Source organism: Homo sapiens, chromosome 10 (assembly GCF_000001405.40).
Source record: "Homo sapiens chromosome 10, GRCh38.p14 Primary Assembly".
Classification (NCBI taxonomy): Eukaryota; Metazoa; Chordata; class Mammalia; order Primates; family Hominidae; genus Homo; species Homo sapiens.
Window position 1 is genome coordinate 31,679,461 of NC_000010.11, and position 12,904 is coordinate 31,692,364.

The window sequence follows — 12,904 nt, forward strand, 5'->3', positions numbered from 1 at the left end:
AGAAAGCCTCTTTTCTTTCTTTCTCTCATCTTTTGAGTCCATACCTCAGGGGGGCTGTAACTGGGACCCCAGGCCTGAGACAGATCAATGGCAATTGATTAATTCAGAGGGAGAGAGTGGCGTGTATGTGCGTAGGTGAGAGAAAGAGAAATAGAGACAGACACAGAGACAGAGACAGAGACAGACTGAAAGAGAGACAGACAGACACAGAGACTGTTTGCATGCATCCTGCAATCATGCCCTGCTATTTTAGACTTAAGCTTCACTCTTGACCATTTATTTTTTTTAAAAAGCCAGAATAATAGATCATGATAACATTATAATAGCAACCTGATGATAATGAATGCAACATAGGTCATTAAGGAACGTATTCAGGGCAAGACTTGCTAACACAATAAAGCTCACTATGTGCCAGGAACTGTTCTGAGCACTTCGCATACATGAACTCATATCAAGTAAATAACCTCGCCACAGTCGTATGATGTAGCATCTATGAGGTTAGTGCTGTTACCAGTTACCCTATTTTACATTGAAGAAACCCCACTCCATTGAGAAAAAAAATAGCAGAGGGAGTCTTCCAAGTTTCTAGGAAGCTGTAGCCATTCAGGATCTTTTGGGGCAATTCAGCACGGCAGGGTTGTGACATCTGGGCTGTCTGGGTGACTCGCCATGTGCTTAATTGATTCCTCATTTTTCCAAGGGTCTGGCACTTATTGAAGCCCTTGGAACATTGATGCATATTGTGTATGACCAGAGGGAAGAGGGTAAATGAATGATTAAGTGACGCTTATCAAAGGCCTCACTTCAAAGTGGGGTGGCCATAGGAAAAAGGGTTCTGTGGTCAGTGAAACTAGGAAATAATAAGTTAAATAGACTAGAAGTTTAGTTATTCACAGAACTTCTGAGAGCTTTGAACATGGTAACATGCACTGTGACCCTTCCTAAAGAAAACAGAGAATGAAGCCTTTTCTGGCATGTTAGACTTCTTTGTGAGAGACGCTTATGGGGCTGGAGTTCCGTGGACTATACAGTAGTCTCGGTTATCCACACTTTTCTTTCCTTGGTTTCAGTTACCCATTGCCAACCATGGTCTGAAAATATTAAATGGAAAAGTCCAAAAGTAAACAATTCATGCATTTTAAATTGCACACTTCCGAGTAGCACAATGACATCTCACCCACACTGTCCCACTCCTGGCCTTCCTGGGACGTGAATCCTCCATTTGTCTGGCATCTCCACACTGTCTACACCACCCAGTGCTTGTGTCCAAGTAACCCTAATTTTACTTAATAATGGCCCCAAAGCACAGGAGTAGTGATGCTGGCAATATGGATATGCCAAAGAGAAGCTATAATGTGCTTCTTTTAAGTGAAAAGGTGAAAGTTCTCAACTTAAGGAGGAAAGAAAACAATTATATGCTGATGTTTCTATGATCTACAGTAAAAATAATCTATCTGTAAAATTGTAAAGAAGGAAAAGGTAATTTGGACTAGTTATGCTGTCTCACCTCAGTCTGCCAAAGTTACAGCCACAGTTCATGATAAATGCTTAATTAAGATGAAAAGGGCATTAGATTTGTGGGTGGAACACGTGAACAGAGCCATATTGCAATGAACAGCAATCAGGTTTCTTACTATCTGTGGTTTCAGGCATCCACTAGGGGTCTTCAAATGTATCACCACAGATGGAGGGCGGCAGGTGGGGGACTACTGTACTTTGGGAAACTGTGTCTGATATGACCTAGAACTTGAGACATGTCTCTGGTTGTCTGAAAAGACCTGAATGTTTGGAGATACAGAAAGAATTTGGATATACCATTTGGGAGACATAAAGCACAGTGGAACCCCGGAACCTGCTGTGTCTGATGAGCTATCCTCCCCACATCTTTACCTTTGGGCCAGTGTACCTGGAGGGGACATTCTGAATATCAGTGACATCCCAGAAGGAAAGCGCCCAGCCCTTCTCCTTCTCTGTGCAGGGTTCTCTCACCACCAGCAGCAAATGGATGGCAAACCTATTGATGTTCCTAAAATAGGGCTCCTATGAGTCAAAAACTTCATATGTGATTCCATGAAGCTTTGTGAACACCAGCTATGCTTCACCACCAATAAGCAGCACTACTGATAGGATTGATGGCCAAACACCTCATGGTACTTCACTAGGAGGACCATTTATAGATGCAGACAGTACAAAAGGATGAGGCCAAAAGGACCCCATTGGAAGATACGTAACTTCTGAGCAGGCAGGAAGAAAACTTGGCAGGGAAGCATCCCCACTGTTAGCAGCTACAGAAAATAATTATGTATACAACAACCATACTTTGAAGCCCTCCCCAGTAACCAGTAATTGACTGTCCTAAAGAAGCTTCCTTTGGGATGCTTTCACACCCAACCTATTCTTATTGCTTGTTCCAGGTACACAATGTTCCCCTTCTGACTAAAGTAACTGTTTTTCTTGCCTCTACTCTCACCCACCTCCTGGACACACTGCAAGATTAATATTCCTAAAACATTGTCTTCCCCATGTTGATTTCTGTCTTCAAACATTTTGAACGTCAGTTTGAATGTGGCTTCAATCTTGCCACCCTACCTTATTCCCACATGGGGTCTCTATACAGCCCCTATGATCCAGCCAAAATTGTACTTCTTCCAAAAGTTGCACATCCATTAAATACTCTGGTTATGTTCCCACTCAGTCAGCTTGGTTTATGTTGATTTCCAGCCTCAAACATCATTTTAAGAGTGATATCAGAGGGAGTGGTTTAATAAAGACCTCTAAAAATTATCTCTTCCCTAAAAGCAAGGTGAACACTGACAAAAATGGTCATAATCAATGTTTTCAGAACTCAGAAAATTAAACAAAATCTTGCAGCAACCTGGGAGCATTTATTGAAAAAAAAGTTGGCAGAATCTCAGTAAGAACAGTGAGCTTTATAGTATTTTGACTTACCTTATTCTCATCCCCCTATCTCCAGCTACACAGTAGCCTTGGAAACCAGCAGCATGCAATTTCAGTGAAAAACAGAAAGCTGGCAGTCTCTGGAGGGGCAGAACAGAGTTAGACCTCCTTCAAAGCCCCACTGTCATATCTACCTGGTGGTTCCCTGGAAGACCCCACTCATAAGACTTGTATTTTCTTGACCTAAGAGCTCACACAGTGCAAACAGTCTTTTTCTTGGAAGCATGTATAAAAATCAATCATCAGCAATTGTTTAACCACCTGCCTGAGGAAATAGATTATAATTAAGGCAAATAATAGTCTCACCAAAAAAACTTAAAAAGAAAAGCTAGGAAATGAGATGTCAATGAGGAGCTCTGAGAAGCTCTAATATATTCTTTGGAATCTAGAAGGCCATGTGCATAATAGGCCTGTGCATATGCTCATGGTAAACTTGAGAAGTCTCTAAGTTCTCACCTCTGGCTGACCTTGAGGCTCTGCAGAAGCAGAAAGCAAAGGCTAAGGAAGAGTTGACAATCAGCTGGCTGAGTATTGAAGACATGCCCTGAAATGCACACAGAACTTCTTTGCAAGGAGTGGGAGTCTTACTGATTTAGGCATTTAAAGATGTCTCTGTCCAGTCATTAGCAGACAACTAAGCTAACCCAGCATAGACTTCAAAGTCAGGGACAAAGAATAGAGACTTTACAGAATTAGTTTTCTAAAAAATGACTGAACAAACACACAACAATAGCTATAGCAGAATAGCGATAGCAACAAGCCCCAGGAATAGAAACTGTTCCTGAGGAAGTCCAGATGTTGGACTTATTAGTCAAAAACTTTAAATCAGCTTTTTAAAATGTGTTCAAAGAACTAGAAAAAAAATCTAAATAACTAAAGAAATGTATGTGAATGGTGTTTCACCAAATAAAGTATATTGATAAGGAGATATAAATTATATAATAGAACCAAATAGAAATTCCAGAGTTGTAGAGTACAATAACTAAAATGAAAATTCACTACAGAGTCTGAACAGAGCAAACACAAGAGAGAATCGGTGAATCTGAACACAGATCAGTTGAAATTATTCAGTCTGAGGAATAGAAAACAAAGAAGAGAAGTTAATAGAGTCTCAGAGACTTGATAGACAGACTCAAGCATACAATATATATGTAATAGGATCCCCAAAAAGAAGAGAGAGAGGAGAAGAAGGCAGAAGAAAATATCTGAAGAAATAATGACCCAAATTTCCAAAATTTGATGAAAAACATTGATCTCCACATCCAAGAACCTCAATGAATTCCAAGCAGAATAAAGTCAAAGAGATCAAACCTAGACAGGTTACAATTAAACTATTGAAACACAAAGAGATAATCTTGAAAGTAAAAAGATAAGTGAGACATCACCTACAAGGGATCCTCTATAAGAAATAACAGCAGATTTTTCATCGGAAACCATGGAGGTTAGAAGGCAATGGGGCTACCTATTAAAGGGCTGAAAGAAAGAAACCTGTCAACCAAAACTTTCATATCCAGCAAAACTATCCTTCAAAAAAAAAAGGAGAAATTAACACATTTCCTGATCAACAAAAACAGAGAATTCATCACTAGCATACCTGCCCTACAGGAAATATTAAAGAAAGGCTTTCAATCAGAAATAGAAGGGTACTAGACAGTAACTTGAATCCACCTAAAGAAATAAAGAGCACTAGTAAAGGCAACTACTTAGGTGAATATAAAAGGCAGTATAAATATATTTTTGTTTGTCTCTTTTTTCTCCTATTTATTTAAAAGAAAACTGCATAAAAATAATTCTAAATCTGTATTTATGGGAATATACATATAATATGTGATTTGTATGAGAACAGGACAAAGGAGGGGGAAGGAAATGAAGCTATATAGAAGCAAAGTTTTTATACACTATTGAAATCAACTTGGTATCAAATGTCCTTTAATTCTCTTGTTACTAATTATGATTCCTACCGAGCTTGACATGGCTTACCTCTAACATTGTCTGGTCTCCAGGCAAATGGAGACCTCAGAAAGATTTTATTTGCAGGATCCCAAGCCTTATGTACATCTCTATGGCGCACCATAGCCTATATGCCAATGATCTATGGACTCTCCAACATACACACCACAATGAGCATAGTATTAAAGAACTGTGACCTTGACAGCCCAAGAATCATATCAAGAGCATCACCAGGCCAGTGCAAAGATCTGCTTCACCAAAGGTGTTACAGAGTCCAGGGATTTTTAAACCATAGATTGAGGTCATTGGTGGATTGTGAAATTAATTTAGAGGGCAGTGACCAGCATTGTCTTAATGAAGTAAAATGGAAGAGAAAGGAAAGCATCATGATGCATTTAGTAAGACGAATGATTTTCTGTAAAATTTTGTGATGATGATGTGTTTGTGGGACCAAGCACACTGGGTTGCAATGTAGAAATGTATTTCTTACAGTGGGCCATTGTGAAAAACATTTTTAAAGCAAGTTTTCAGACCAGCTTTCAACAATGGCAGAAGACACAGTAGCTGAAAACCTCAGGCTAACATTGGGTCAGTAAGATCTTCAGTTTTCTTTCTTCTGTCCAGTTTTCTAGTATAAGAATAAATAACCCACAGGCATACTTGGAAACTTTGAGGGGATGAGGTAAACCTAATGTGACAGACTGTCCACATCAAATTCATACCAATAGCAAATCCTCTGGCTTTTATTTCAAAATATCTCCAGCATTGACCTACTTCTCATGACCCTCACCACCACCCTTTCTCAAACCACTGTTCTCTCTCCCATAGACCACCATATAAGCCTCCTAGTAGGCATTCTTCTCTTACCTTTGTCCTTCTAAAGGTATTCTGCCAAAAATCTAAGTTAGATCACATTGCTTCTCTGCCATAACTTTCCAGTGTCCCCCTTCTCACTCAGAGTGAAAACCAAAGGCCTTTACTAATTGACAAGACCCTATATGATCTGCCCACCACCCTTCTCTATCCTCATTTCCCTGTTCATCCCATCCGACCACACTGCCTTCTTGATGCCCTTTGAAGAGAATAGGCAGACTCCCACTCAGTAGGGCCATCACGACTGTCTGGGTTGTCCCTGCCATGGAGCCCAGATGTCTTACTCCCCACCTACTTCAAGTCTTTGCTCAAATATCACCTTCTCAATGCAGCCTTCCATGGCCATACTATTGAGGCTCCCAACCCCATCCACAGACATTTTCTATTCCCTTTCTCTACTTTATTTGTCCCCAGAGCACCTTTTAACATAATATTTATCCATTTGTTGTATGTCTCTTGCAGTAGAATGTCAGCCAACATAAAGGTGGCATTTTGTTTGGTTGGTTCGGTGCTGTATCTTCAGTACCTAGAACAGTGCCTAGCACAAAATAAGTGCTCAGTTTACGTTTTTTGAATGAACAATTGAAGGGTTGCCAAAAAAAAAAATATTGTTGGCAGTAATGCTGTACTTCTTGCTAAATTAGCCTGTGTGTGCTTGGTAATTAATTTTAATACTAAGAAGAGATGGGACCCTATGGGTAGAGGAAATTGGTCACAGAGTCCTTAACAAATTCTTCCAGGGCTAGAGCCAATGTTTTGCTAGCATCAGCACCTCCATCTTGGGCACACAATATTAGGAAGTCATAGGAATACAGGAGGCCCCTGGTGCCCACTTGATCCACTGAAGGTAGAGGGGAGAGATTACGCCCAAAGAAAGATGACTGTTTTTGTTTAGTTTTGTGTGACAAGCCATCCCTTTAGAAGTGATACCCCAAATAAATGAGTTTCCTTGGAGAATAGCATACATTCCAGCAACAATGCTGTAACTTTGCCTCTGGAAAAAATTTCAAGGTCAGTAGGACACAGTATTTTTGAAAATCTCACACAGTGGCAAATTTTCACTTTTAGAAAGAGGGCTTGTTTTCAAGTGACACAAAGTCCCTTAAAACAAAATCTAGTACACAAAATGGCTGAGCAGTCTGGAACATACTGAGTGGGTCAAGTGTGTGATGTAAGTCTGAGGTTAAGACCTCATTGCTTTGCACAGTCTCCACGCCCATCTTGGTATTCTATCCACCAAGCTGCTGCTGGGACACAGACAGCAGCTAGAGGCTAATCATTCTCTCTTGTACTTTTGGAATTGAGGGTTCTTAGAGAGGATGAGGGACACAGTGGTACAAGTAAAACACTGACTCTAGGTGGACCTTGAGAGAGCAAAGCATGGCAAGGTCTCTTGACAAGCTTTGGCCAGAGCTATTGGTGAACAATGAAAGGAAAGCCTATCAGATTCTGAATAAAAAACCAGGATCTTTCTTAGGTGTCAGTAACTTCCTGGTTTATCTTTGAGTACTGCACCATTCAAAGTAACAAGCTCAGGCCATTTCTGTAAAGGGTTGGCCATGTCACTAAGGATAGACATGGTGGCCTGGGTACCCCACATGATCCCACCTCCTTCTGCATTTTTCAGTCATGTTCTGCACTTCCCCAGGTCTTCTCCAAAAGATGCCTAGACATTGAGTGGAAATGCTGGGGAATGGTTCCAAAGCAGCAATACAAACTATCCTGAAACTATAGTTGGGCAGAGGACTGCTAAGATTTTTCTTAAGTAAAATTTCTCCTCAAACTTCCTTTTCTGAAAAGATTAGGTCTCTAGACTAAGGTGGAATAGGTGAAGTAGGTGCACTTCTCTCTGTTTCTCCTGTGAAGTATAGATTAAAATCCTAGAATGTATATATACACATATATATGTTATATATATACATTATTTATATATAAATATATATTTATATATACATTATTTATATATAAATATATATTTATACATTATTTATATATAAATATATATACCTACATTATTTATATATAAATATATATTTATACCTACATTATTTATATATAAATATATATTTATACCTACATTATTTATATATAAATATATATTTATACCTACATTATTTATATATAAATATATATTTATACCTACATTATTTATATATAAATATATATTTATACATACATTATTTATATATAAATATATATTTATATATACATTATATATAAATATATTTATATATACATTATATATAAATATATTTATATATAATGTATATATAAATATATATACATTATATATACATTATATATAAATATACGTACATTATATATTTTATATATAAATTTTATATATATAAAAATATATACATTATATATATACACATTTTTTATATATATATATATATATGCACACAAACATGTACACACACAAGGACTCTGAAAGGTCTACAGAAGGCAGACCAGCTAGAGATCTCAGGACCCAAAAATGACATGGCAAGTAAGTCCCCCTGTGTTTCCCTTTTTGCCTCATATATCTCAGACAAGGTGCTGATAAAGGCCAGCAATCTGAAAACACCAATGGGATCAGTTAAAAAGAAAAAAAAGCCTCTAAGAAAAACCTGCTTTCCCTAGCAAAGATAAAGGGTAACCTAGCAAGATGGAAAGTTTTTAGACAATAACAATCTCACCCCTAGCCAAACATCGAGAAAAAAAATGCAGTTGCACTGACACCCCCACCAGCAAACACAGAATGGGGAGCTAGGTTTCCACTTTGCTAGGCTGTAATGAGGCACCTTTCCCTCTACTGCCTACCAGAGTGATGTCAAAGAAGACTGACAGAGGATCTGGAACTTGCATAGCTACCCAGCAGTTATAATCTCACCTCCCGAGTACCAATGGAGACTACATGAGGATCCTGGACTTCTGCCTCCACCCAGGGCTAACAAGGTACCTCTTTCTCCTCTCCACTAGTGACAGAGAAAGGTGAATGAGAAACCACAATTATCATCACCGTCCAGTGGTACAGAGGCCTGCCTTACCCTGGACCCTGTGGAGTCAGTGGAAGCTTGCTAAAAGAGAACATCTAAATAAAATCCATAGTCCATAGCAATACACAGGTTCAGGATACAAACAGAAATCATTCACCACACCAAGAACCAAAGAAATTGCAAAATAAGTGAGAAAAGACATTTAATAAACACCAATACCAAGATGATGCAGATATTAGAATTTTTTGTTTGTTTGTTTGTTTGTTTTGAGACAGAGTCTCAAATTCCTGATAAGGAATTTTTTTTTTTTTTTTTTTGAGACAGAGTCTCGCTCTGTCACCCAGGCTGGAGTGCAGTGGTGCAATCTCAACTCACTGCAAGCTCCGCCTCCCGGATTCACGCCATTCTCCTGCCTCAGCCTCCCGAGTAGCTGGGACTATAGGCACCTGTCACCATGCCCGACTAATTTTTTGTGTTTTTTAGTAGAGACGGGGTTTCACCATGTTAGCCAGGATGGTCTTGATCTCCTGACCTCGTGATCCGCCTGCCTCGGCCTCCCAAAGTGCTGGGATTACAGGCATGAGCCACCGCACCTGGCTGACAAGGAATTTAAAGCAGCCATTATAAAAATGTTTCAATGAACAATGACAAACAGGCTTATAAAAAGAATATCTCAACCAATAAATAGAAAATGTAAAGGAGCACAACATGAAAATTTTAGAACTGAAAAAATATGATAATCAAAATTTTAAAACTCTAGAGAATGGGCTCAGGAACAGAATAGGGAAAACAAAGGAAAGGATAAATAAACTTGAAGATAAAACAATAGAAATTATCCAATCTGAACAAGAGATAGAAAATAGACATTAAAAAAAGAGCAGAGCATTAGGAAGCTATAGAACTGTGGTGAAAGATCTAACATTCATGCTTTCAGAGTCCTGAAATGAGAAGAGGAGGGATGAAAATGCATTAGAGGAAATATGGCTGAAAAATTTCAAAATTTAACAAAATACATGAACTTACAGGTTCAAGAAGCTGAACAAACCCCAATAAGGTTAGGCTCAAATAAATTTATGCTGACACATATCAGAGTCACACTTCTAAAAACTAAAGACAAAGAAAAAATCTTGAAAACAGAGAGGGAGAAACAATACCTTACCTATAGGGAAAAAAACAATTCAAATGACAGCAGATTTCTCATGAGAAATCATGGATGCCAGAAGGAAATGGCACAACGTTTTCCAAATGCTGAAAGCAAATAACTGTCAACTCAGTTATTTTTGTTGGCAGAGGGTTTTGACTCAATGTTGATGGCTACTGACTGATTAGGGTGGTGGTTGCTGAAGGCTGGGGTGGGTGTGGCAATTTCTGCAAATAATAAAGACAACAGTGAAGATGGTCACATCAACCGACTTCCTTTCATAACAGACTTCTTTGTAGTATGTGATGCTGTTTGATAGCGTTTTACCTATAGTGAAACTTCTTTAAAATTTGGAGTCAATTCTCTTGAGCTCTGCCACTGCTTTATCAACTAGGTTTATGGAATATTCAAAATTCTTTGGTGTCATTACAACAATATCCATAGCATCTTCACCAGGAGTAGACTCCATCTCAAGAAACCACTTTCTTTGCTCACTGATGGGAAATAATTCCTCATCTATGCGAGTTTTGCCATCAGATTGCAGCAATTCAGTCACACCTTCAGGCTCCACTTCTTACTCTGTGCCATTGTTACTTCCACCACATCTGCAGTCTCTTCCTCCACTGAAGTCTTGAACCCCTCAAAGCCATCCATGAGAGTTGGAATCAACTTCTTCCAATCGCCTGTTGGTGTTGATACTTTGACCTCCTCCTGTGACTCACAAATGTTTATAATAGCGTCTAGGATTGTGAGTACTTTCCAGAAGGTTTTCAATTTACTTTGCTCAGATCCATCAGAAAAATCACTATCTATGACAGCCATAGCCTTACAAAATGTAGTTCTCAAATATTAAGACTTGAAAGTTGAAATTACTCTTTGATCCATGGGCTGCAGAATGAACGTAGTGTTATAGTCATGAAAACAACATTAATCTCTATCAGAGCTCTTGGGTGACCAGGTGCATTGTCAATGAGCAGCAAATACTTTGAAAAAAGTATTTTTTTCTGAGAAATAGGTCTAAGCGGTGGGCTTAACAGATTCAGTAAACCATGCTGTAAACAGATATTCTGTCATCCAGGCTCTTTTGTCCCATTTTTAGAGCACAGGCATAGTAGATTTGGCATAATTCTTCAGGGCCCTAGGATTTTTGAATGGCCAATGAGCATTGGCTTCAACTTCCAGTCACCAGTTGCACTAGCCCCTAACAAGAGAGTCAGCCTGTCCTTTGAAGCTTTGAAGCCAGGCATTGGCTTCTCCTCTGTAGCTATGAAAGTCCTAGATGGCACCTTCTTCCAATAGAATGCTGTTTTCATCTCTATTCAAACATCTGGGGCAGGCACAGTGACTCATGCCTATAAACCCAGCACTTTGGGAAGCCAAGGGAGGCAGATTGCTTGAGCTCAGAAGTTTGAGACCAGCCTAGAAAACAGCAAAACCTTGTCTCCACTAAAAATACAAAAATTAGCTGGGCATGGTGGTGGGCACCTGTAGTCCCAGCTGCTCAGGGGGCCAAGGTAAAAGAATCACTTGAACCCAGGAGCTGGAGGTTGCAGTGAGCCTTAATTGCACCACTGCATTCCAGCCCAGGTGACAAAGTGAGACTGTGTCTCAAAAAAAAAAAAAAAAAAAAAATCTGGCCAGGCACGGTGACTCATGCCTGTAATCCCAGCACTTTGGGAGGCCGAGGCGGGTGGATCATGAGGTCGGGAGATCAAAACCATCCTGGCTAACATGGTGAAACCCCATCTCTACTGAAAATACAAAAAATTAGCCGGGCATGGTGGCAGGTGCCTGTAGTCCCAGCTACTTGGGAGGCTGAGGCGGGAGAATGGCGTGAACCTGGGAGGCGGAGCTTGCAGTGAGCCAAGATTGCGCCATTGCCCTCCAGCCTGGGCAACTGAGCAAGAATCCATCTCAAAAAAAAAAAAAATCTGATGTTTATTGTATCTATCTTCAAATTTTCTTAGCTGGATCTTCTGGATAACTGCTGCAGCTTCTCCATCAGTGCTTGCTACTTCACCTTGCACTTTTATGTTACGGACATGGTTCTTTCCTTAAACCTCATGAACCAACCTCTTCTAGCTTCAAACTTTTTCTTCTTCCTCACCTTTCTCAGCCTTCACAGAATTGGAGAGAGTAAGGCCTTTTTCTGTATTAAGCTTTGGCTTAAGGGAATGTTTTAGCTTGTCTGATCTTCTATCCATTCTATCCAAACCACTCAAGCTTTCTCCATATCAGCAATAAGGCTGTTTCTGTTTCTTATCACTTGTGTGTTCACTGGAGTAACAGTTTCAATTTCCTTCAAGAACTTTTCCTTTGCATTCATAACTTGGCTGTTTGGTGCAAGACGCCTAGCTTTCAGACTATCTCAGCTTTTGACTTGGCTTCCTCACTAACCTTAATTATTTCTAGCTTTTGATTTAAAGCAAGAGATGTGTGACCAAGGCCTTAGGAACCCACCCCTTGCATCAGTGTGGGCTGGATGTGAGACATGGAGTCAAAGGAGATTATTGTGGAGCTTTAAGATTTAATGACTGCCTTGCTGGGTTTCGGCTTGCATGGAGCCTGTAGCCCGTTTGTTTTGGCCAATTTCTCCCTTTTGGAATGAGAGTATTTACCCAATGTCTATACCCCCATTGTATCTTGGAAGTAACTAACTTGTTTTGTTTGTATAGGCTCATAGGCAGAAGGGACTAGCCTTGTCTCAGATGAGACTTTGGGCTGTGGACTTTTGAGTTAACACTAGCTAAGATTTTGGGAGACTATTGGGAAGTTATGATTATATTTTGAAATGTGAGAAGGACATGAGATTTGGGAGGGGCCAGAGCAGAATGATATGGCTTGGGTCTGTGTCCCTGCCCAAATCTCACATCAAATTATATTCCCCAATGTTGATATTGAGGCTTAATGGGAGGTGATTGGATCATGGGGGCAGTTTCTAATGGTTTAGTACCCTACCTCTAGTGCTGTTTGTGATAGGGTTCTCCCAAGAACTGCTAGT